Source organism: Homo sapiens, chromosome 14, assembly GCF_000001405.40.
Source record: "Homo sapiens chromosome 14, GRCh38.p14 Primary Assembly".
Classification (NCBI taxonomy): domain Eukaryota; kingdom Metazoa; phylum Chordata; class Mammalia; order Primates; family Hominidae; genus Homo; species Homo sapiens.
Window position 1 is genome coordinate 77396360 of NC_000014.9, and position 27411 is coordinate 77423770.

Here is a 27411-nt window from a genome sequence, read left to right on the forward strand (position 1 = left end):
CTGCCTCAGCCTCCCAAGTAGCTGGGATTACAGGCATGCACCACCATGCCTGGCTAATTTTGTATTTTTAATAGAGATGGGGTTTCTCCATGTTCATCAGGCTAGTCTGGAACTCCTGACCTCAGGTGATTCACCTGCCTCGGCCTCCCAAAGTGCTGGGATTACAGGCATGAGCCACCGCACCCAGCCCAAGGAATCTATTTTTAAAACCTCCTAGAACTAATGAATTCAGCAAGGTTGCAGGATACAAAATAAACATACAAATATCAATTGTATTTATATACAATAGTGATAAACATGTGGACACCAAAATTGAAAATGTTTTTTCATTTATTGTCACTCCAAAAAATGATATACTTAGATGTAAATCCAATAAAACATGTACAAGACTTGCATAATAAAAACTATAAAATGCTGATGAAAGCAAAGAATATCTAGAGAAACATACTATATTAATGAGTGGGAAAACTCAACAAAATTAAGATGTCAGTTTTCCAAAAATTGATCTATAGATGTAATCACAAAATAAAAATTATTGCCAACACCAGTTGCTGGTGAGGATGCAGAGAAACTGGATTATACATTGCTAGTGATAATATAAACTGGTACTACTGTGAAAAACAATTTGGCAGTGTCTTAAAAAAATAAATATGCAACTACCAAATGACAATAATTACACTCCTGGTCATTCATTCCAGGTAAGTGGACACTTATGTTCACACAAAAGCCTGTACATGAATGTTCATAACACCCTTATTCATAATAGCCAAAAACTGGAATCAACCCAGATGTCCTTCAACAGGTGAATGGTTAAACAAATTGTGATACAGCCATGCCGTGGAATATTATTCAGCAATAAAAGCCAACTATTAATACACATAACAACTTGGATGAATCTCCAGAGACTTGCTGAATGAAAAAAGCCAGTTTCAAAAGGTGGCATACATATGATTCCACTTATATAACATTCTTGAAATGACAAAATTATAGGAATGAAGAACACATTAGAAGTTACCAAGTTTGCAGCTGTGAGGAGGCAACATGAAGAATTCGTTAGTGAAAGAACTGTTCTATATCTTAACTGTATCAATGTCAGTATCCTGGCTGTGATATTGTGCTACAGTTTTGCAATATCTATTTCCATTGATGGAAAATGGGTAAATGGGTACATGAGATTTCACTATTATTTCTTAACAATTTCATGTGACTCCGTATTTATCTCAAAATAAAGAAAAAAATTATCTTGGCTGGGTGCGGTGGCTCACACCTGTAATCCCAGCACTTTGGGAGGCCAAGGCAGGCGGATCATTTGAGGTCAGGAGTTCAAGACCAGGCTGGCCAACATGGTGAAACCCTGTCTCTACTAAAAATACAAAAAAGTCAGCCAGGCTTACTGGCTGTAATCCTAGCTACTCAGGAGGCAGAGGCAGGAGAATTGTTTGAACCTGGGAAGCGGAGGTTGCAGTTAGCCGAGATTGCACCACTCACTCCAGCCTGGGTGACAGAGCTAAAACTCCATCTCAAAAAAAAAAAAAAAAAATACTTGAATTCCAGTTTCTGGTCTGACATGTAAGAAGCTAGAAGTTGCCACTCTATCCTAACAATAATTAAAAAGCTGAACTAAAAAATCAATAACTCTTTTAGATGTGTAAGAGAGGTAGGGTCAAGGGCAAACTACTCTCCCTAAGACTGCAGGGACCAGAACACAAATGCTCAGAAGTAGCTTGCTGGAGGAGAAACCCATGAGCTGAAACCTCTATGGGAACCCAGTGCCAAGATAGGGAACCCGGAACTGTAACTGACAAATTGCTGGAGGTTCAGAGTGGACAAGTCTGAGAATAAAAATGTCAGACTTGGGGGACCCAATCACTGGGGACCCTCACACTTATGATTTTTACCTCTAGGAGCTCAACCAGGTTCTCAGTGATATCTGAGAAAAATCCCCTTGTGCTTCCATCAAAGGGAGAGGAAAATAAACCATTTTGAAATATGGCAGAGCATTCTGTTCTTAGCAAGGTCTGCCCTTGGGAGAAACTATTTAACCAGAGCCAAACCTTCTGGGGTTTTATCTGAGCCTAACTGACCTGGGGGAAGAGAAATAGCCAGTTCCAGTCAGGTCTACCCTTCCACGTGGAAGGAGGAATGGGCTCCTCAACTCCAGCCCACTTTAGCCATCCTGTTCCACTGAAGAAGGAGAAAAATCCTGAGAAACACTTGTGAAGTTCACAGTCCAGAGTACAGGCTCACTCAAAGACTGAGACCTACCCGTAGGACTATAGAACACTTCCCCTCCTCAACTCCTTACTACATTATTAAAGACCTATTTACAGGCCGGGTGCGATGGCTCATGCCTGTAATCCCAGCATTTTGGGAGGCTGAGGCGGGCAGATCATGGTGTCAGGAGTTCGAAACCAGCCTGGCCAACATGGTGAAACCCCATCTCTACTAAAAATACAAAAATTAGCTGGGTGTGGTGGCGGGCACCTGTAATCCCAGCTACTCAGGAGGCTGAGGCAGGAGAATCGTTTGAACTCAGGAGGCGGAGGTTCCAGTGAGCCAAGATCGCGCTATTGCACTCCAGCCTGGGCAACAGGGCAAGACTCCGTCTCAAAAACAAACAAAAAAAAGCCTATTTACAGCAGTTCTTTTTACCTGGTACATCATGTCTGACTATCCAGAAAAAGTTAACAGGCATACTAAAAGCCAAAAAACAAAAAACCACCAAAACCCACAATTTGAAAAGGTAGAACAAGCATCAGAACCACATATGAGAGGAATACTGGAATAATCAGACTGGGAATTTAAAATAACTATGACTGAGGCCAGGTGAGGTGACTCCTGTAATCCCAGCAATCTGGGAGGCCGAGGTGGGAGGATTGTTTGAGCCCAGGAATTCAAGCTTGGGCAACAAAGTGAGACCCCAGTCTCTACAAATAATAAAAAAAACTAGCCAAGCATGGTGGCATGTGCCTGTGGTCCAGCTACTCGGGAGAGGTGGGAGGATCACTTGAGCTCGGGAGATTGTAGCTGCAGTGAGCAGTGATCATGCCACTGCACTCCGGCCTGGGTAACAAAGCAAGACCCTGTCTCAAAAAATAAAATAACTATGACTAATATGCTAAAGGATCTAATGGATAAAGTAGACGGCAGACTACGGAAGCAGAAAGATGGAAGTTCCAGGAACCAAAAATAAATACTACTCATTAAAAACACTGTGACAGATATGAAGAATATCTTTGAGGCCCCTATTAGTAGACTGTTCATGGCCGAGGAAATAATCTCTGAATCTGAGGATATCTCAACAGAAACCTCCAAAACTGAAAAGCAAAGAAAACAAAGACGAAAAATACAGAACAAAATATCCAAGGACTGTGGGACAACTACAAAAGATGTAACATGCGCATAATGAGACTAGAAGGAGGAGAGAAAGGACACAAGAAATATTTGAAACAATAATGACTGAGAATTTCCCCCAAATTAATGTCAGACACCAAACCACAGATCTAGGAAGCTCAAGAAGACACCAAGCAGGATAAATAACAAAAACACACAAGAAACTATACCTAAACATATCATTTTGAGACTACAGAAAAACAAAAAATCTTGAGATAAGCCAGAGGGAAAAAAAACACCATACCCATAGAAAAACAAAGATAAGAAAGCTGATTTTTAGGATCATGCAAGCAAGGAGAGAGTGCAGTGAAATATTTAAAGTGCAGGAAGAAAAAAAATCACTAACCTAGAACTCTGTGCAAAGTTATCCTTCTAAAGTGAAGGAGAAATAAAGACTTTACCAAACAAAAATTGAGGGAATTTGTTGCCAGTAGACCTGTCTTGCAAGAAATGTTCAAAGAAGTTCCTTAGGAGGAAAATGATATAGGTCAGAAACACGGATCTACATAAAGAAAAGAAGAGCACTGAAGAAGGAACAAGTGAAGATAACTTTAGTTTTTCTTACTCCTAACTGATCTAACAGATAACACTGTAAACCAGAAAGTATCTGAGACAAGCATCAGTCAATTTAGAAAGTTTATTTTGCCGAGGTTGTGGCTATGTGCCCGTGACACAGCCTCAGGAGGTTCTGATGACATGTGCCCAAGGTAGTCGGGGCACAGCATGGTTTTATACATTTTAGGAATACAGGAGACATCAATCACTATATGTAAGATGTACATTGGTTTGGTCTGGAAAGGTGGGACAACTTCAAGTGGGGCGGGGGTTTCCAGGTCATAGGTAGATAAGAGACAAACGGTTTTATTCTTCTGAGTTTTTGATGAGCCTTTCACTGAATACACAATTTACAGGAATAGTCTCTTATGACTTAGAATGGCTTAGTGAAGCAATAGGGCAAATGTTTAAATGTATGTTGCAAAGTTGTAGGATACAAGATTAATATGCAAAAGTCAGTGTCTTTTCTATATACCAGCAATGAACAAGTGGAATTTAAAATTAAAAACACATTACCATTTATATTAGAACCCCCAAAATGAAATACTTAGGTATAAATCAAATGAAATATGTGCAAGATCTACATAAGGAAAACTATGAAACTGATGAGAGAAGTCTAAAAACAACAAAATAAATATAGAGATTTCATGTTCATGGAGAAGAAGACTCAATACTATAAAGATGCCAGTTCTTCCCAACTGAACTACACATTCAACGCAATGCCAATCAAAATCCCAGGAAATTATTTTGTGGATATTGAAAAATTGACTCTATAGTTTAAATGGGGCCAGGTGCAGCAGCTCATGCCTGTAATCCCAGCACTTTGGGAGGCCGAGGTGGGTGGATCACGAGGTCAGGAGTTTGAGACCAGCCTGGCCAACATGGTGAAACCCCATCTCTACTAAAATACAAAAATTAGCTGGGCATGGTGGCGGGTGCCTGTAATCCCAGCTACTGGGGAGGCTGAGGCAAGAGAATTGCTTGAACCCAGGAAGCAGAGGTTGCAGTGAGCCAAGATGGCGCCACTGCACTCCAGCATGGGCAACAGAACAAGACTCCACCTCAAAAAAAAAAAGTTTAAATGGAAGAGCAAAAGACTCAGAACAGGCTGGGTGTGACGGCTCATGCCTGTAATTCCAGCACTTTGGGAGGCTGAGGCAGGAGGATCACTTGAGGCCAGGAGCTTGAGACCAGCCTGGGCAACATAGCAAGATCCCATCTCTACAAAAAAATATAAAAAATCAGCTGGGCACAATGGTGTGCACCTGTAGTTCTGTAGTTCTAGCTACTCAGGAAGCTGAAGTGGGAGGATTGCTTGAGCCCAGAAGGTTGAGGATGCAGTGAGCCATGATCGTGCCACTGCACCCCAGCTGGGGCAGCAGAGCAAGACCTTGTCTCAACAACAAACAAGACTCAGAATAGCCAACTCAGTATTGAAATGGAAGAACAAAGTCAGAGGAGTAACACTACCCAACTTCAAGACATCCTTTAAAGCTACAGTAATCATGACAGTGCAGTATTGGTGAAAGACAAATAGAGTGGAATAGAATAGAAAGCCCAGAAATAGACCCGCATAAATATAGTTAACTGCTCTTTGACAAAGGAGCAAAAGCAATATAATGGAGAAAAGACAGTCTCTTCACAAATGGTACTGAAGCACTTGGATATCTACATGCAAAAAAGAAAAAATGAATCTAGACACAAACCTTACACCCTTCACAGAAGTTAAGTCAAAATGTGTCACATGCAGAACTATAAAACTCCTGGAAGATAACATAGGAGAAAATCTAGATGATCTTGGCTTTGGCAGTGACTTTATAGTTGTTAACACCAAAGGCATGATCCATGAAAAAAACAATTGACAAGGTGGACATAATTAAAGAATTTAAATAACTAAAACTAAAAGTCTCTGCTTTGTGAAAGACACTGTCAAGAGAATGAAAACATAAGCCACAGACTAGAGAAAATATTTGCAGAAGACAGATAAAGGACTGTTTTCCAAAACATACAAAGAACTCTTAAAATTCAACAATAGGAGCCGGGCGCCATGGCTCACGCCTGTAATCCCAGCACTTTGGGAGGCCAAGGTGAGCGGATCACCTGAGGTCGGGAGTTCAAGACCAGCCTGACTAACATGGAGAAACCTCATCTCTATTAAAAATATATAAATACAAAAATTAGCCAGGCATGGTGGTGCATGCCTGTAATCCCAGCTACTCGGGGGGCTGAGGCAGGAGAATCACTTGAACCCGGGAGGCAGAGGTTGCGGTGAGCCGAGATCGTGCCATTGCACTCTAGCCTGGGCAACAAGAGCAAACCTCCGTCTCAAAAAAATTCAACAATAGGAACACAAACCAATTTAAAAATGGGCCAGAGACCTTAACAGACACTTCACCAAAGACAATATACAAATGGTCAATAAGCATATGAAAAGATGCTACACATCAGGCCAGGCATGGTGGTTCATGCCTGTAATCCCAGTATTTTGGGAGGCCAAGGTGGGCATCACCTGAGGTCAGGAGTTTGAGACCAGCCTGCTAACATGGTGAAACCCCATTTCTACTAAAAACACAAAAAATTAGCCGGGTGTGGTGGTGCATGCCTGTAATCCCAGCTACTTGGGAGGCTGAGGCAGGAGAATCGCTTGAACCCAGGAGGCAGAGATCGCAGTGAGCCGAGATCACACCATTGCACTCCAGCTTGGGCAACAGAAGTGAAACTCCGTCTCAGAAAAAAAAAAGAATACAAGGAAAATTTGACAGGAAAACTATATAGTTTACAACATTAATTAAATATTACAATCTTAAAGGAGAGGAGAAACAAAAATCTCATTAAATGCTTAAAAGGGAAACTGATAAAATTTGAAATAGATTTTCTTAAAACTTGAGAAGAATAAAATTGGGATGAGTAAATTAGGGTTGACAAACTACTAGAAGGAAACCTTTTGTTTTTATTATGGAAATTTTAAAACAAAATAGAATGAAACATAGAATAGTATTAAGTAAAAAAGAATATAACAAAAAATAGTATAACGAAACTCCATATGCCTATCACTCAGATTTAACAATTATCAATTTATAGCTAATCTTTTCTCATACAAAACCCCACCCCTACTCCTTTACCCCCATCTATTGGATTATTTTGAAGGCAATCCCAGACACTATATTGCTTGATAGACTTATCACTAAAAATACAAAAATTAGCCAGGCGTGGTGGTGTGTGCCTGTAGTCCCAGCTACTCGGGAGGCTGAGGTGGGAAGATCACGTGAGCCCAGGAGGTGGAGGTTGCAGTGAGCCAACATTACACACCACTGCATTCCAGCCTGGGCAGCAGAGTAAGACCCTCTATCAAAAAAATAAAAATAAAAACAAAAAAGTTAATGGAAATAACAGGCCCACCAAGTGCTCAACATTTAATTAAAATAGACCTACATCATGGCACATCATAAAATTTCAAGATACTGAGGTCAAAAGATCTCATAAGCTTCCAGAAAGGAAAGAAACAGGTTTCAGACAAAGGATTAAGAATTAGAATGGCACTGTAACTCTCAGTAGCAACTCTAGAAGCTGAAAGACAATGAAGCAATGCCTCAAAATTCTCCCATCCAAGTACTAACCAGGCCCGACCCTGCTTAGCTTCTGAGATCAGATGATATCAGGCACGTTCAGGGTGGTATGGCTGTAGATGCAATCCCTCAAAATTTTAAGGGAAAATTATTTCCAACCTGCAATTCTATACCTGGCTATGTTCTCAATAAAATAGAACGCTAGAATAAAAACATCTCAAAGAGTCTCTGAAAATTATTTCAATGCACCCTTTCTCAGGAAGGTACTACAGGACATGTTCCCCCCAAATTAAGAAGTAATTCATGAGAGAGAAACAAGAGATGTTTCCATGACAGGAAACAAGAGATCCAATACAACAGAAAAGTGAGGGGAATCCCTGGGATAATGAAGAAGAAAAATCTCCAAACCAAACGTGAATCACAGGCATAGAGAATAAACTGTCCATTGATGATTGATTGGAATACGAAAGATGAGGAAGAAGAATCTAGGATTACATCTAGGGTTCTGACTTGAACAACTTGGTGAAGCAGCATATAATTAGGTAAGAAACATCAGAAGAGCAGGTTTAAGAGCAGGTATGTTTTTGGACATGGTGAGTTTGAGTGGAGATGGTGAATACACAGTTACCTAGGCACAGCATTGACATTTAGGCTAGAGATACAGAGTTATATGCTGTCAGTGAAAAGATGGGAACCTAAGTCCCCAAAGTGGAAAAGATCACCGGGAACAAAGTATAGAATGAAAAGAAGTATAGCATGAAAAGAAAAGGGCCTAGGATAGAGCCCTGAAAACACCCAGATTTAAGGGTGAGGCAGAGGAGAAGCTAGCCAAGGAGGGGCCGGGGAGTCAGGAAGAAAATGAGGAGAACGGGAGGGATCATGACAGCCTAGAGAAGAGACTGCTTCAAGAAGGATGGCATGTTCAATAATTAAGGAAGAAAAAGAGTTTAAAGCATCCAGTGGATCTAGTGACATGGAAGTCACTAGTAATAAGAGCAATAATCTTTGCATATTAGATTATCAAAGATCAAAAATATTTATTTGATAGTTATCAGATATTAAAGAAGTGGCACCCTCATATGCTGTTGGTAGAAATGTAAACAAGTACCACATTTTTTATAAGCAATTTGGGAACACCTATCAAATATAAAATATGCATAAACTTTGACCCAGAGCTTCTTTCACATATGCCACCGAAATACTGGTACAAGTGCACAAAGTACAAGAATGTTCAAAGCAGGCCAGGCGCACTGGCTCACACCTGTAATCCCAGCACTTTGGTAGGCCAAGGCGGGCGGATCACTTGAGGTCAAGAGTTGGAGACCAGCCTGGCCAACATGGCGAAACCCTGTATCTACTAAAAATACAAAAATTAGCCAGGCATGGTGGCACATGCCTGTAATCCCAGCTACTCGGGAGGCTGAGGCACTTGAATCACTTAAAGCCGGGAGGCAGAGGTTGCAGTGAGCCGAGATCGTGCCACTGCACTCCAGCCTGGGTGACAGAGCAAGACTGTCTCACAAAATAAAATAAAATAAAATAAAGAATGTCAAAGCAGCCCGTAATGCAAAATTGGGGATGAGAGGAGGAACTACATCTCTATCAAGTGGAAAAGGAGTGAATAAATTTAATGGAATAAATGTGTCCGGTGGACACCTAGGTAGCTGCTCATAAATGAAGTAGCTATGATTGTACTAACATAGAATGGTAGCTGTGATACAGTAAGTAAAAAAGCAGAATATATAGTTCCCATGTGTCTAACACTGTATATATAGGAATAGATATGCATATACATTATAACAATATAAATGTTTGTAAATGCATAGATAAAAATATAAAAACTGTTAGAGGTGAAATCTATGAAATGGGATTTGGAAGGCAAAGGATGGCATTTACTTTTCCACTAGTTGAAATTCTTTACAAAAAGGTATAATTTTTATCAATGTTTAAAGAGAACATGAAAGGATAAAAGAAAAAAAGCATTAACTAAGAGAAGAGTCTGGGAGAAATGAGAATGGCCAGCTGTCCAATGCCCTTACCTTTCCTGAGACAAATTCTTGCCATAGGCTTTGCTGACAAAATCTGTTAATTGCAACTTTGGGCAAGATGCTGTGTCTTTCCCACAGTCTTCAAAGTGCACGGAGAGAAAGAGTTCACTCAGAAGCTGCAGCACTTGGGAGTGGGCCATGTTTCTTGCTGTGCATATGTTTAGGGCCGCATAGAACACTCCCTCCAACCACTTGATATTGAGGATTATTCCCCCTACACATCAATGAGAAGGTAAATACCAGTTAGCACCACCAAAAATGAGTTGCAGAAAACCTAGAATAAACCCCTGACAGTGAATAGCCGCCTTTTTTCCAAGACAGATTGGTAATATGAACCACAAGATAAGCAAACATTCCTTCCTGAGCCACAAGTGCTACTTGTGCCCTTTATAACACATCATGTGTTGACCATCCCAAAAGTGGACAGATACAACTAATGTAGACATTGCTAATGGCAAAAAGTGTCTCTGGAATAGTCGTTGCTAATATGGAGAAGGAACTGGGGAAAACTACAAGATTAGAACAGGGAAAAGCCATTTTAGTCCAACATTACATCCTCCTATTGAAATAAGCTATCTCCTCTTTTGGTTTTAATTTGTCCTTAAGAAGTCCAAATGATCAAGCTTCTCAGCTCTTCCTAAGTAGCTCTCCTGCAGTACCTTGTGCCTTACACACACACACACACACACACACACACACACACACACACACACAGAGAGAGAGAGATTGATTTAATAAGATAGCAATGGGCCAACAGGAAAGTAATTTTCAAAAGAATGCCAGAAATATGTTGAGCCGTGACCAGCAGGACTGTAGGGACAGGTAGCTTGAAGAATCGTAGGATCTTGGAGAGCAGCTATGACTCCCTTATTGGCCCCCCAGACGCTGACAGAATCTTCATCATACTGATACTGAGGCCGCAAGATATTGGTGTGGTTCAACAGTAGTTTCAGCCTGGAAGTAAAGCCAAGACAGGGAGTGCAATGCCAGGACTGGAATAAATGACGACATAACCCACTGTGTTTACATCCAACCCCATCAACAGACTCCCCCACACAGCTCAGAGATAAATGCGGGTCTGGGTCTGTGCTGAGAGCACTAATTAACTGGACTGTTCATCCACCTAACAAATCCTTACTTATTGAATGTTATGTGCTAGGCACTGGGCTAGAAACTAAGTGTGCAGAAATAATATTTGACACATACTTTCAGTAACTTTTCATGTTATTGACCGATGGTTTCTCTTCTCATTGATGCACAAGGAGAATACTTCAGTGTTCAAGTAATGGGAATAAATGTTCTATTGCAATTTTAAACCTTTGTACAGCAACAAAAATGGTTTGTGGTTACTATTTGTGGGTAAGTAGGGAAGTTACGAGAAAGATTGGCTAACTATGTTCTTCTACAGATAAAGCTGCTTCCTCCTTATTACTGGAAACAACCAACTCTAAGAGATAGGGGCTACAGTGGAGGTGGGAGGCAGAAGTCAGAGATAAGGAGACAGAGCAGTTGTGCCAGTTCCATTCTCACCCTAACAAGATACCTGGGTAGTGGGATGGCAGCTACAAAGCTGTACACAATGCTGGCCTTCTCAAGGCTGGTGTAAATTTCTACGCAGATATTAGGCAGCTGAGACGGCAAGCAGCAGAGGAATATCACATCGGCCCAACTCACCAGATCAGCGTTATGGTAAAAGCATTTGATTCCCAGCTTCTGGAGCTCACCTGGGAGGGATAAAGGAAGACAGGAAGAGCACAGTACTAAAGAGTTTGACCTGAACATCAACTATGGGGAGAGGGTGATCATTATTTTAGCTCAGTAAATCAACCCATCTTATTGCTCCATAAATCAGAAGATATTCCTTCCTACAGACCTTCTAAAAGCCACGCAGCAATGCCCTAACTCTATTACTAAAGCAGCAGTAGTACTTGAAATTATAATTCATCTTTTTTTTTTTTTTTTTTGAGACGGAGTCTCACTCTGACGCCCAGGCTGCAGTACACTAGCGTAATCTCGGCTCACTGCAACCTCCGCCTCCCGGGTTCAAGCGATTCTCCTGCCTCAGCTGCTCAAGTAGCTGAGATTACAGGCATGCGCCACCATGCCCAGTTAGTCTTTGTATTTTTAGTAGAGACGGGGTTTCACTATGTTGGCCAGGCTGGTCTCAAATTCCCAACCTCAGATGATCCGCCCATCTCGTCCGCCCAAAGTGCAGGGATTACAGGCGTGAGCCACCACGCCTGGCCTATAATTCACCTTTATCTTACTTTTAGATCAAGTGCTGGAATTTTTCCAATTTTTTTTTAAGACAGGGTCTTGCTTTGTCACCTGTGGTGTGATCATGGCTTACTATAGCCTCAACTTCCTGAGCTCAAGGGATCCTCCCGCCTCAGCCTCCCAAGTAGCTGGGACCACTGGTGAGTGTGACCATGCCCAGCTAATTTTTTTATTTTGTGTAGAGACAAGGTCTCACTATGTTGCCTAGGTTGGCCTCAAACCCCAGGACTCAAGTGATCCTCCCACCTCCGCCTCCCAAAGTCCTGGGATTACAGGCATGAGCCCTATGTGCTGCCCAGACTTTTTTTTTAGGAAGAAAAAAAATCTCAGAGAAGTCTTTTACTCCAATGTACTGCAGGATAACCATGTGTCAGATAATGTACAAAGGACTTTACAGTTTCTAAGGTGTAACCCCCACAAGGACCTTATGAAGCAGAAACGAGTAGCAGTCCCATTTTACAGATGAGACTGAGGATTCAAGAAGTTATATGACTTGTCCAAAGTTACAGAGCTGCTGGCTTGAGGTGGTGGAAAAGACTAGGAGAGTGGAAGGTATAAATCAGAGGCTGAGAAGGGTTTGCAAAGATTTAACAGTTTCTGTAAAGTATATACAAATTAATTTTATTAGGATATCTATAAATGAAGAAAGACTGATAACTCATGTAGTTGCATAAAAACACTCACTGGTAGTTAATTTTTTTTTTTTTTTTTTTTGGCTAGCGATGGGATCTCACTGTTATCCAGGCTGGTTTCCAACTCCTGGCTTCAAGTGATCCCCCTGCCATAGCCTCCCAAATGTGCTGGGATTATGGGCATGAGGCAATATGGATTTTCAAAAGTATAAACCTAAAGTGTTCACTCACATCTGGTGGTATGTCATAAATGTCATTGGAAAACAGAATATAACAGACATTGGAGAGTGACTTCTTATGTTAACCACTGAGAGTACATGGCAAATGTAATGCTAAGGTTATCTAGATACTGATAAACCTGGAAGAAAGACAGATGATTTGGTTTGGCTCTGTGCCCCCACCCAAATATCATCTCGAATTGTACTCCCCACGTGTTGAGGGAGGGACCTGGTGTGAGGTGATTGGATCATGGGGGCAGTTTCCCCCATGCTGTTCTCATGATAGCGAGGGAGTTCTCATGAGAGCTGATGGTTTAAACATGGCACTTTCCCCTGTGTGCTCTCTCCTGCCACCTTGTGAAGAAGGTGCCTGCTTCTGCTTCACCTTCCACCATGACTGTAAGTTTCCTGAGGCCTTCACAGCCATGCAGAACTGTGAGTCAATTAAACCTCTTTTGTTTATAAATTACCCAGTCTCAGACAGTATCTTTATAGCAGTGTGAAAACAGACTAATACAACAGGACAAAGTTTAGAAAACAGGCCTATCTATCATTCTCTCCTGTGTTGTTCTCATTCTTTTCATGTGCATAGAAGCTGATGTTGAGCATTTTGAATTATTGTTTCCTTACACAACACATAGTGATATTTTACAACTATAATTTTATTCTAATAAATATATTGCTTTGCAAAGAATATATATACTTTGTTGAAATATCACATATATTAGTCCTATTGATGGGATAAAGATATATACCTTGAGATTTTTTTTTTTTTTTTGAGACAGAGTCTTGCTCTGTCATCCAGGCTGGAGTGCGTGGTACAATTTTGGCTCACTGCAACTTCTGCCTCCTGGGTTCGAGCAATTCTCATTCCTCCCCTGTAGCTGGGATTCGAAGGTATGTGCCATCATGCCTGGCTAAGTTTTGTATTTTTAGCAGAGATGGGGTTTCATCATGTTGGCCAGGCTGGTCTCAAACTCCTGGCCTCAAGTGATGCAGCTGACTCAGTCTCTCAGAGTGCTGGGATTACCGGCATGAGCCACCATGCCCAGTTGGTAAGATTTTTTTTTTAGTTTCCTTAGGAATATAGGAAAAAAAAAATGGCCAGGTGTGGTGACTTACTCCTGCAATACCTGCACTTTCAGAGGGTGAAGTGGGAGGACTGGTTGAGCCTAGCAGTTTAAGACTAGCCTCGGCATTAGAGTGACACCCTGTCTCTATTTATAAACCAAAAGAAAAAAAGAAAAAAACATTACAAATCAATAAGAAAAATAAACCTGGGCACTGTGGCTCACACCTATATCCCAGCACTTTGGGAGGCTAAGGCAAATGGATCACTTGAGGCCAGGAGTTCGAGACCAGCCTGGCCAACATGGCAAAACCCTGTCTCTACTAAAATATTATACAAAAATTAGCTGGGCATGGTGGTGTGTGCCTGTAATCCCAGGTATGTGAGGGGCTGAGGCATGAGAATCACTTGAGCTTGGGAGGCAGGGAGGTTGTAGTGAGCCGAGATCATGCCACTACACTCCAGCCTGGGTGACAAAGTGAGACTCCATCTCAAAATAAATAAATACATATATACATAAATAAATACATAAATAAAGTAAGTAAGAAAAATACAGGCACACCAACAGAAAAAATGGTCAGAAGCACCTCAGAAAAAATGACATAGTAATAAACCTAAGAAAATAAAACTCTTCTATTGATTAATGAAAGACATATTAAAACAAGAAAATAATTTAAAGTATATTAAAATGGTGATGTTAAAAATGATCCCAGCACTGACCTGTGTGTAGTGAAATGGGTGTTCTTATGCAATGTTGGTAAAAAAGTATACCTGAAAACCTTTTGGGAGGTCAATTTGAAAAAATACATTAGAAGTTTCTTTAAATTTTAAAGATATACCTACCACATGACCCAGCCATTTCACTGCCACATATTTACCCAAGAAAAATGAAAGTAGTTGCCTACATGAACACTTATATACATGTATTCATGGCAGCTTTATTTGTAATAGCCAGAAACTGCAAACAGCCTAAGTCAACCAAATAAATAAACTGTGGAATAATCATGCAGGGAAATACTACTCAGAAATAAAAAAGGATATTGATACATTAAAAACGTGGATATATTTCAGCTGGGCATGGTGGCTCACGCTTGTAATCCCAGCACTTTGGGAGGCTGAGGTGGGAGGATCACTTGAGGTCAGGAGTTGGAGACCAGCCTGGCCAACATGATGAAACACCATCTCTATTAAAAATACAAAAAATTAGCTGGGCATGGTGGTGAGCGCATGTAATCCCAACTACTTGGGAGGCTGGGGCAGGAGAATCGCTTGAACCCGGGAGGCTGAGGTTGCCGTGAGCCGAGATCACACCACTGTACTCCAGCCTGGGTGACAGAGTGAGACTCTGTCTCAAAAAAAAAAAAAAAAAAAAAACTTGGATATATTTCAAACAAATTATGCAGTGTGAAAGAAGTTAGACTAAAAAAACACTACAAACTGTATGATTCCATTTAGATAAAATTCTAGAAAATGCACACTAATCTATGGTGACAGAAATCAGATTGTTGGTTTCATGGGTGGAGAGCTTCAGGGAAGTGGACAGAAAGGGATTACCAAAGACAAGTGGCAACTTTTGGGGGTGATGGGATACGTTCATTACCTTGTGATGGTTTCACAGTTGTATACGTGTCAAAACATCAAATTGTACTCTTTTAACTGTGTGCCATTTATTGTATAGAAATAATATTTTAGGGGCAGGTGCAGTGGCTCACGCCTGTAATCCCGGCACTTTGGGAGGCCGAGGCAGGCAGATCACCTGAGGTCAGGAGTACAAGACCAGCCTGGCTAACATGGTGAAACCCCGTCTCTACTAAAAATGCAAAAAAATTTAGCTGGGTGTGGTGGCGTATGCCTGTAATTCCAGCTACTCAGGAGGCTGAGGCGGGAGAATCGCTTGAACCCGGGAGGCAGAGGTTGCAGTGAGCCGAGATCGTGCTCTCCACGATCTGCACTCCAGCCTAGGTGACAGAGCAAGACTCAGTCTAAAAAAAAAAAAAAAAAAAAAAAAAATTTAATAAAGCTGTACCAATTCTTTGGCCTAATAACTTTATTTGGAAAATTATGTACAAGGAAGTTCAACTAAATAAGGCATAGTTACATAAATTATGGTACATCCATACTTTGGGATATTATACAACCTTAAAATCTATTTTTTTACATTAATCTCTTACTAATATAATTAAAATTTTAAATCCTGAGATGAAAACAGAGAAAGGAAGAATAGTGTAGGGTGTCTAGTGGTCTTAGCCACTGCTGGGCACAACTACATAGTCTGTGCATCCAAACACCAGGTACAGCAAGCACACCCTGCTAGGGAGATGCAAGAGACTGTGCTCAAAGCCTGCTGGGGTAACCTTCTACTGTGGGAAAGTGGAGGGGCTTAACATCATTATTTCTTATTGATTGATTAATTGAGACAGAGTCTTACTCCGTTGCTGAGGCTGGAGTGCAATGATGTGATCTCACCTCACTGCAAGCTCCGCCTCCTGGGTTCAAGTGATTTGCCTGCCTCAGCCGCCTGAGTAGCTGGGACTACAGGAACCCACCACTACACCTGGCTAATTTTTGTATTTTTAGTAGAGACTGGGTTTCACCATGTTGGCCAGGCTGGTCTCAAACTCCTGACCTCAGGTGATCTGCCCACCTCGGCCTCCCAAAGTACTGGGATTACAGGTGTGGGCAAATCATTATTTCAAAAAATGTTAAACGATACGAGAATATGCTCATGATACATTATGTAAAAAAAAACAGAATACAAACAACTGTATACAGTGTCGATTACTGATATAATTAGAGAAAAAAAAAACACGGGAAGGAAATAACCCGAGTAGATTATAGGTAGTTGTATCCTTCCTTGTAGACAAATTTTCTACAATATGCATATTATTTTACATTTTTTATTATTGAAGTATAATTTACATATAATGCAAAACACAGATATGAAGTGTACAGTTTGATCAGTTTTGACAAAAGCATACACCCATTTAACCCATACCTCTCTCTCAAGATATAAAACATTTTCATCTCCCCAGAAAAAGTTGCTTTGGGACTTTCTCAGTCTATCTCCCCAGAAGAAATCATTGTTCTGATTTCTATCACCATAAATGGAATCATTACAAAACTTTTTTTTTTTTTTTTTTGAGACGGAGTCTTACTCTATCTCCAGGCTGGAGTGCAGTGGTGTGATCTCAGCTCACTGCAACCTCTGCCTCCTGGGTTCAAGCAATTCTCCTGCGTCAGCCTCCTGAGTAGCTGGGACTACAGGCACGCACCATCATGCCCAGCTAATTTTTGTATTTTTAATAGAGACAGGGTTTCACTATGTTGGCCAGGATGGTCTCAATCTCTTGACCTCGTCATCTGCCCGCCTTGGCCTCCCAAAGTGCTGTGATTACAGGCGTGAGCCACCGCGCCCGACCACAAAACATTTTTTTAAAGTCAGTAAATGTCATTTTTAAAAATATAAGGCCAACTGCAAATGCCTGGAACTGTTTAACACCCAACCAGACCCTAACTGATTCAGTTAGAAGATCTGAACTCTGTATGGAAAGCTTCCCTGTATCAAAGATCTGGAAAGATACTTCACCACCAAGGGCACAGGGAGGAGACATGGATATAAAACACATACATGGAGAAAAAAAGTCGCTTTAAAGAACAGGAGAAAAGGCCATGCTTCTAACCTTTCTTAGGGCTAGCAAGCTGAGAACTCCACACGCTGTATGCAAGGATTCCTCTTTGGAGGACCCTTTCAAAATGGCTTTGTTGACACCTACACAGCACAACCAAGCCCCCTTTCTACCACACACTGCTCCTCACCCAGAGTCTCTGGCCTCCGAGTGGAGATCCGCAGGCTTTCAGCAGGGATGGGGCCAAGCTGCAGCAGTGTGCCAGCCAGCTGCTTCCCAAGGTGGCCACCTCCAATGATGCCCACCTTAAACTCTTCAGGAGTGGCTGAATTAAGGGAGCCAATTGAGAGATGTCTGGAACTTTGATTCTTATTTAATGATGCTCTGGAGAATGAACACACAGACACGTACATAAATACATGCACACACTAGTTTTTCTTTTTTTTTTTTTTTTTTGAGACAGAGTCTTGCTTTGTCGCCCAGGTTAGAGTGCAATGGGGTGATCTTGACTCACCGCAAGCTCCGCCTCCCAGGTTCACGCCATTCTCCTGCCTGTCTCCCGAGTAGCTGGGACTACAGGTGCCTGCCACCACTCCCGGCTAATTTTTTGTATTTTTAGTAGAAACAGGGTTTCACTGTATTAGCCAGGATGGTCTCCATCTCCTGACCTCGTGATCCACCCGTGTTGGCCTCCCAAAGTGCTGGGATTACAGGCGAGAGCCACCGCACCCGGCCTAGTTCTTCTTAACTGTCATTCTCTGACATTTTCTGCTTTGTCATTTAAGGTGCTTGGTGGCACCTTAAGTACTTCGGAGATAAGACATTTCAACTGTGTGTCATTTATCCAGCCTCACTAGGGAATGAAATGTTCCTCCTGAGTTAATTTTCCAGAAACAAAAGTATAACCCTTTTCAAGGGACCAAAATTTAAAATGTTTTAAATGAACATACTTTGTTACATGTATTATGCTTGCCTGGTTAAACAGTCTGAATATTTAATCATTTCACTGGCTCAGGACACCACTGTGAACAGCCACTATTATACAGCATACTGTAATGTCTATAACACATTGTGGGCCAGTCCCCTCATGTTTTGTTTGTTTCTGTGCAGACAGCTTTCAATTTTTTTTTTTATTGTGGTTAAAAAACACATGCTGGGTACGGTGGCTCACATCTATAATCCCAGCACTTTGAGAGGCCAAGGCAGGCAGATCACTTGAGCTCAGGAGTTTGAGACCAGCCTGGGCAACATGTAAGACCTCGTCTCTACAAAAAATACAAGAATTAGCCAGGTATGGTGGTGCACACCTGTAGTCCCAGCTACCCAGGAGGCTGAGGTGGGAGGATTGCTTGAGCCCAGGAGTTTGAGGCTGCAGTGAGCTGTGCTCGTGCCACTGTACTCCAGCCTGAGTGACAGAGCAAGACCCTGTCTCAGGAAAACACACACACACACACACACACACACACACACACACACCATGAACTTCACCATCATAACCATTTTTAAAGTGCACAGTACAGTTGTGTTAATTATATGCACATTGTGGCTAGGCATGGTAGCTGATGCCTGTAATCCCAGCACTTTGGGAGGCCAAGGCGTGTGGATCACTTGAGGTCAAAAGTTTAAGACCAGCCTGGCCAACATGGTGAAACCCCATCTCTATTAAAAATATAAAAATTAGCCCAGCATGATGGTGTAAACCTGTAGTCTCTGCTACTCAGAAGGCTGAGGCAGGAGAATCTCTTGAACCCGGGAGGTGGAGGTTGCAGTGAGCCAAGATCCACTACTGCACTCCAGCCTGGGCAATAGAGCAAGACTTGATCTCAAAAAAAGAAAATACATATAGATAGATAGATAGATAGATAGATAGATAGATAGATAGATAGATAGACAGACAGACAGACATATAGATATAGTTGTGCAACAGCTCTTTAGAACCTTTCCATCTTGCAAAACTGGAACTCTATATGCTTTTTTTTTTTTTTCGAGACAGTCTCCCTCCATTGCCTGAGCTGGAGTGCTGCGGCACAATCTCAGCTCACTGCAACCTCCACCTCTCACATTCAAGCAATTCTCTGCCTCAGCCTACTGACTAGCTGGGATTACAGGCGCGTGTCACCACACCCCACGCCCAGCTAATTTTTGTATTTTTAGTAGAGATGAGGTTCTCCATGTTGGCCAGGCTGGTCTCGAACTCCCCACTTCAAGTGATCCGCCCACCTCCGCCTCCCAAAGTGCTGGGATTATAGGCATGAGCCACCACACCCGACCTGAAACTCTATACAATTTTTCTCTCTCCCCAGCCCCTGGAAACTACCATTCTACTTTCTGTTCCACTACTTTAGATACCTCATATAAGTAGAATTATGCAGTATTGTCTTTTTGTACATGGCTAATTTCACTTAGCATAATGTCCTCAAGCTTCATCCATATCAATTTTTGGATTTTTTTTCTATCTTCATGAAAAATGTCATTGGGATTTTGATAAGGATTGCAGTGCATCTGTAGACAGCAATCTACAGGGTCATAGGACAATAGCGTGGGAAGGTCAGCAGATAAACAAGTGAACAAAGGTCTCTGGTTTTCCTAGGCAGAGGACCTTGCGGCCTTCCACAGTGTTTGTGTCCCTGGGTACTTGAGATTAGGGAGTGGTGATGACTCTTAAGGAGCATGCTGCCTTCAAGCATCTGTTTAACAAAGCACATCTTGCACCGCCCTTAATCCATTCAACCCTGAGTGGATACAGCACATGTTTCAGAGAGCACAGGGTTGGGGGTAAGGTCACCGATCAACAGGATCCCAAGGCAGAAGAATTTTTCTTAGTACAGAACAAAATGAAAAGTCTCCCATGTCTACCTCTTTCTACACAGACACGGCAACCATCCGATTTCTCAATCTTTTCCCCACCCTTCCCCCCTTTCTATTCCACAAAACCGCCATTGTCATCATGGCCCGTTCTCAATGAGCTGTTGGGTACACCTCCCAGACGGGGTGGTGGCTGGGCAGAGGGGCTCCTCACTTCCCAGTAGGGGCGGCCGGGCAGAGGCGCCCCTCACCTCCCGGACAGGGCGGCTGGCCGGGCGGGGGGCTGACCCCCCCACCTCCCTCCCGGACGGGGCGGCTGGCCGGGCAGAGGGGCTCCTCACCTCCCAGTAGGGGCGGCCCTTTCTTATTTTTAACGTAGGCATTTACCCCTATAAAGTTTGCTCATAGTACTGCTTTTGTTGCAACCCATAAGTTTTGGTATGTTGTTTTCATTTTCACTTAAGATATTTTCAAATTTTCCTTGTGATTTCCTGTTTGATTCATTGGTTGTTCAAGAGTTGTGTTGACTTCCACATATTTGTGAACTTTCTAGTTTTTCTTCTGCTATTTCTAGTATCATTCTATTATGGTCAAAAAAAAAAAAAAAAGACGGTTGGTATGATTTGAATCTTCTTAAATTTGTTAGGACTTATTTTGTGACCTAACGTGATCTATCCTGGAAAATGTTCCATGTGCACTTGAAAAGAACGTGTATTCTGCTGCTGAGTGGAGTGTTATGTACTTGTCCATTAGGTTCTAATTGGTGTGTCATGTTGTTCAAGTCTTCTGTTTCCTTACTAACCTTTTGTCTGGTTGTTCTATCCATTATTGAAAGTTGGGTATTAAAATCTCCTACTATAATTGTATACCTTCAGTTATGTCAATATTTGCCTCATATATGTGGATGTTCTGATGTTAAGTACATATATAATTGTTGTGTCTTCCTGGTGAATTGGTCTTTTTATCATCATGTCATTCTTTGTCTCTCATGACAGTTTTTGACTTAAAACCTATTTTGTCTGATACAAGTATGACTACTCCTGTTCTTTTTTGGTTACCATTTACGTGGAATTATCTTTCTCTATGGTCTGACTTTCAGCCTATATGTGTCCTAACATCTAAAGTGAGTCTCTTGAAGACAAGATATACGTTGGATCTTGTTTTTGTTTTTGTTTTTTATCCATTCAGCCACTCGGTATCTTTTGATTGATGGGTTTAATCCACTTACATTTAAAATAATTACTGATAGGGAAGGACTTATCACTGCCAGTTTGTTTTTTTCTCTGTGTTGCAGTTTTGTTCTTCTTTTCCTCTCTTGCTGCCTTCTTTTGTATTTCACTGATTTTTTTTTTTTGTAATGACATTATTTTCTTTTTGTTGTTGGTATTTTCTTTGTAGTTACCGTAGGAAATTGCATAAAAATCATAAAAATAGTTGTAACAACCTATTTTAAGATGATAATGTCAATCATATACAAAAACTCTACTTCATCTTCCCCTACCCCTGCTTTTTGTTATTTATCTCATGAATTATATCTTTTGGATATTTTGTATCCATTAGCATGGTTTTATAGTAATAGGTTTTTTTTTAGTATTTTTATTTTTGAGACAGGGTCTCACCCTGTGGCCCAGGCTAGAGTACAGTGGCGTGAACACAGCTCACTTCAGCCTTGATCTCCTGGGCTCAGGTGATCCTCCCGCCTCAGCCTCCCAGGTAGCTGGGACTACAGGCACACACCATCATACTTGGCTAATTTTTGTTATTTCTAGTAGAGACAGGGTTTTACCACATTGCCTAGGTTGGTCTCGAACTTCTGGAATCAAGCGATCCGCCTGCCTTAGCCTCCCAAAGTGCTGGATTACAGGCGTAAGCCACCGTGCCAAGCCTATTTTTAATTTTTATTATTTATATTTATACTTATTGATATTTATAATTTTATTTTATACATTTTATTATTTCTATATTTACATTTTTATATACATTTTATTTATCTATTTATGAGACAGGGTCTCGCTCTGTCACCCAGGTTAGAGTGCAGTGACATGATCATTGCTCACTGCAGCCTCTACTTTCCAGGCTCAAGCAATCCTCCCACATCAGACTACCACGTACCTGAGACCACAGGTGTGTACCACTATGCCCAGCTAATTGTTTTTTTTTTTAAGAGATGTTGTCTCCCTATGTTGCCCAGGCTAGTCTCAAACACCTAAGCCCAAGCAATTCTCCTGCCTTGGCCTCCCAAAGTGCTGAGATTACAGGTGTGAGCCATCACACTTGGCCAGCTTTTATCTTTAAATCCTATACCACAATTAAAAATGATTTATGTGCCACCCATCACAGTATTATGTATATGGCTATATATTCACCTTTGCCAGAGAGCTTTTTATTTTTGTATACTTTTGTGTTGTTGACTAGCATGTTTTCATTTCAACTTAAGGATTCCCTTCAGCATTAGTTGTAAGGCAGGTCCAGGAGTGATGAGGTTTTTTGTTGTTGTTTATCTGGGAAGCTCTTTCTTTCTCTTTTTTTTTTTTTTTCTTGAGATAGAGTTTTGCTATTGTCACCCAGGCTGAAGTGCAGTGGTGCAATCTCAGATCACTGCAACCTCTGCCTCCCTGGGTTCAAGCAATTCTCCTGCCTCAGCCTCCCAAGTATCTGGGATTACAGGTACCTGCCACCATGCCCAGCTAATTTTTGTATTTTTAGTAGAGACAGGGTTTCACCACGTTGGCCAGGCTGGTCTTGAACTCCTGACCTCAGGAGATCTGCCCGCCTCGGCCTCCCAAAGTGCTGGGGTCACAGATGTGAGCCACCATGCCCAGCTTCTCCTTAGTTTTTGAAGCACAGGTTTGCAAGAGATAGTATTCTTGGTTGACAGGTTTTTTTTTTTCTTTTTCCTTTTTTTTTTTTTTTTTTTTGAGACAGAGTCTCGCTCTTTCGCCCAGGCTGGACTGCAGTGGTGCAATCGTGGCTCACTGCTACCTCCGCCTCCCGGGTTCACGCCATTCTCCTGCCTCAGCCTCCCAAGTAGCTGGGACTATAGGCGCCCGCCACCACGCCCGGCTAATTTTTTGTATTTTTAGTAGAGACGGTTTTTCACCATGTTAGCCAGGATGGTCTCGATGTCCTGACATCGTGATCCGCCCCCCTCAGCCTCCCAAAGTGCTGGGATTACAGGCGTGAGCCACCACACCTGACCAACAGGTTTTTTTTTTCTTTCCCCTTTCAGCACTTTGAATATATCAAGCACTCCCTTCTGGCCTGTAATGTTTCTGCTGAGAAGCCACCAATAGTCTTCTGGGAACTCCCTTGCATGTGATAAGTTGCTTTTTCTTTGCAGCTTTCAGTATTCTTTGTCTTTGACTTTTGATGGTTTGATTATAACGTGTCTCTGTGTGGTCCTCTTTGGGTTCATCCAAATTGGAGTCCTCTGAGCTTCTTGAATTTGGATGTCCATTTCCTTCCTCAGATCTGGGATGTTTTTGGCCATTATTTCTTCAAATAAGCTCTTTGCACCTTGCTCTGCCTCTCTTCTCCTTCTGACATTCCCATAAGGCATATATTGACCCACTTGATAGTATCCTGTAAGTCCTCTAGATTTTCTTCACTTTTCTTTTCTTTTTGCTCTTCTGATTTCATAATTTCAAATAACTGGTCTTCAAATTTGCTGATTCTTTCTTCTGTGTGATCAAGTCTAATGTTGAACCACTCTAGTGAGTTGTTTCAATTCAATTATTGTGCTCTCCAGCTCCAAATTTTGGTTCTTAGTTTCTCTTTATGATATTATTTTATTCATGTATTGTTTTCCTGATTTCATCAGTTTTTTTTTGTTTTGTTTTGTTTTTTCAGAGACAGGGTCTCACTATGTTGCCCAGGCTGGTCTCAAACTCCTGGGCTCAAATAATCCTCCCACCTCAGCATCCCAAACTGCTGGGATTACAGGCCTGTAATTTGTAATTTGTAATTTGTAATTACAAATTACAGGCCTGTAATCTGTAATCTGTAAACTTTGCCCAGCCTAGTTGTTTTTCTGTGTTTTGTAGCTCATTGAGCCTCTTTAAGATTATTACTTTGAATTCTTTGTTAGGTAACTCACAGATCTGTTTCTTTAGGGCTGGTTTCTGCAGTAGTTTGTTCTTATGGTTGAGCAATATTGCCTTTTTAATTTTTGGTGGAATTTGGGCATTTGAAAAAACAGTCAGGCCTCTCCCAATCTTTACAGACTGGCACCATACAGGGGAAGATCTTTCCCAATCAGCCCAGCTAGAGATTCTGGGGCCTGTCAAATCTTTCCAGGAATGTGTCTTCTCTGGGCTTGAGTTTGGAATTTCCCAATTAAAGAGTTTTGCCTGTTTCTATTGCAGGGGCTGATAATCTTTTCCTCACTTTGGTATCTATCTGCAGTACTGCAGGTTCTCTGTACTGCAACAAGCCACTGAGTGATCCTTTGTTTTCATCCAAAATATGTTGGTTCCTCATCAGTGCTCCAAGTCATGTGAGACAGAAACCAATCCCTCAGGCAGCCCCCAAAAAGGCAGAACAGTGGACAAACATTCCATTTTTCTTTTTCCCTCCAAAGGAGAAGCCACAAATTAGGCATTTTCTCCTGATCACCTGAGGCTGGCTTGAGGAAAGGGATATCTTAGGTGAACTGCAATGGCTTTTCTTACCCCTGTAAATGCAGCTGTTCTTGGATTTGTACCTCTCCAGGGCACTACAATTTCTTAAGTGCTTGCTGGAGGTTTCATAAAGGCTTTTTGGACCATATATTGTTGTTAAGTTAGTGTCTCGAGGTTACAGAGTCTGGAGCTTCCTATTTCTTCATCTTACTGATACCAATCTGAGACAGATGTCAATTTTTATTGCTATTAGATGTGAGTGCATTCCTTTCCTACGATACACCCACTCTTTCTAGTTTGCTATTTCAAATCTGCAGACTTGAGAAACCAGATAACTTGGCTTTTTAAGAAGGTTATGACTTATACACATAAATGGTTTATAAAAACAAAACAGTGTTCATTCAGGGTACAACTTTAAACTACAAAAACAAAACAAAAAAGAACAGAACTGAGAAACTAAGGATGAAGATTTCAGACCACTATTTCCAGAGGTTCACTTACTGTTGGTGCTGGATGTGTTTCCTTGGCGCAAGATTAACAAAGTCAGACTTCTGAATACATAAGGTATACTTTCGTTGCTATATGACAGCCTTATATTTGTTCTGTATTTCTGTAAAAACCAGTGTCTTAAAGCTCTGGATTTTGCTTCTAAGCAACATAAGTCACTCTCTATTTAAGCCTTCTCTCCTGGTTGAAAGAGCATTTTCTCTTAGTGCCTGATCCTTCCAAATATAAAATGCCACCTGCAAGTTTCATATATTGTTTTCTCCCAGTCATATTGAGTACCACCAATAGGTTTATGCATCCTTATCAGTAAGCCAGTCAGTAAATTCACTGAGAAGCCTGCCTCCTTGGACATGTGCTGTATCTATAAACATGTTCAATTCAAATTTGGTCCCACCATCTAGGAATTAATCTAACTTCAGAGAAAAACTAAGAAGTAGAGTGAGGAGGTGACATATGCTCCCAGAGTGACCTGGAGTTGCAGAATTCAGAAGCCTAATTATAGGTACCTGCTTCACACACATTTCCTATTTAAGTGTCTGAAGCCATATTGTAGAAAGATATCAGAATCAAGACTGGACTGACAGCTTTTCTGCAAATCAATATTCCTGGTTTCAAGGAAGTCACTGGCACAGGGCCTGTGAAGTCCCGGGTAGCTTCCTGTAAGGGAGCATTCCACTATTACCTCAGCCCCAAAAGAAAGAACTGATTCCATTTGCATTCCTTGCCAATAGATAAGGAATGGCTAGACATTAGCAACTGTGGAGGGCAAGCTGGTGGTCATGATGACTGAGTGAATGGATGAATAAATGATCATTTAATCAATCCATCCACTAAAAGGTAATCACTACTAATCCATGCTTTATTATGTAACCACAGCCAGGGGACCCTGGTATAGATTTTCCTGTCCTTTTAGACCAGGAGTCATTGACTCTGGGTTGGAAAAGATAGGATGACAATCCACCAGCCAAACTTACCCTCCAATATAAAAAAAATTTAAGACATTTGAATTCTCAGCAGTGAGATTCTTGTCCATCTTCCTGAATTTGGATACTCGGCTTACCTCAAATTATATAATAGTTTGCAGAAGAAGGTTGCATGGGCACAAGCCTCGATCATCAGTCCCCGAGAACGGCCCTGCAAATACAGCCAGATACGATCTTCCTCTGGAACCCCATACTCAAACTGCAGGGACTCAAGGTCCTGGAGCATGTCCATTTCCAAGCCACTATTTCCTGCAGTGATAGACACTAATCAATTTGGCTCCCTGTCCCGGTAGAAGAGGGGTCTATGTAGGAGGTGTGTGTATGATGGTGTGTGTGCCCAGGTCACAAGCACTCATGATGATGGGCTTCAGCACCTCTCTACTCCCAGATTCTGAATTTGGAATTCACCTCTCTTGAATTCACACTCTAGAGTGTGAGTGTTTGAGGATTCCTAATCACTGGCTGCCCATGAATCCTGGACTCATGAAAAACCTGTACAGAAACCCAAAGTATTGTTTCTCCACACAGGTTACAGGCACTGTTTTCGGCAGATGAATTTACAACAGCAATTGAGTTTTACAGGTATTCTTGGGCCAGGACGTTTTCCCTTCCATTCCCTCCTGCGTTTTGGAAATAGGACTGAACACATAGAACCACATTTCAAAGAAATGCTTCCCTTTCACTAAACTCTGTTCTCCACAGGGTACAAAATAACCCAAACTAAATATCATTGTCCCCTGTCTAGGGCAGGGACATCTAGATTTTACAAACTAAACTCAAAGTCATATAAACCCATCTACATATATCTATCACCAAACAGAGAAGATTGGCTCTGCTCCTCAGTACTTCTGATCCTGGAAGGTAAGAACTACATTTCTAAGGAGAATTACCAAGAAACTTGTGATTATGACTCCTTAACTACCAGATTACAGTCTCTAAGTCTTAAAGAGGCCAGCCCCACTTAGAGGTTTTCCTGAGCTGCGTATCAGGACATGAGTTCCTTCCACTATTTCTAGGAGTACTACACTAGAGCAGTATGAGACCCTCCTTTTCCCAACAGAAGATTCTGGATTTCTAGGGGTTTTTTTTGCAGACTAGAATATCTTACAGATC

The 27411-nt window shown here is 41.5% G+C and overlaps 1 protein-coding gene across 6 annotated transcripts in view; it reads right to left on the reverse strand.

The window, feature by feature from the left end:
* NOXRED1 (NADP dependent oxidoreductase domain containing 1) overlaps positions 1–27411 on the reverse strand; it is a 31993-nt gene that overhangs the window by 2339 nt on the left and 2243 nt on the right. The window contains exons 1-6 of one of the 6 annotated variants that reach the window (XM_005267330.5): positions 27112–27164; positions 26376–26547; positions 17575–17768; positions 11106–11286; positions 10365–10516; positions 9554–9776 (exon numbers count right to left, since the gene is read on the reverse strand). In XM_005267330.5, coding sequence (XP_005267387.1) covers positions 9554–9776; positions 10365–10516; positions 11106–11286; positions 17575–17768; positions 26376–26530 — 905 coding nt within the window. In that variant the 5' untranslated portion in view covers positions 26531–26547; positions 27112–27164. Of the gene's footprint in view, positions 1–9553; positions 9777–10364; positions 10517–11105; positions 11287–17574; positions 17769–26375; positions 27165–27411 lie in introns of those variants that run through there. The other 5 variants (NM_001394980.1, XM_011536428.4, NM_001113475.3 and 2 more) reach the window with 5 other exon arrangements.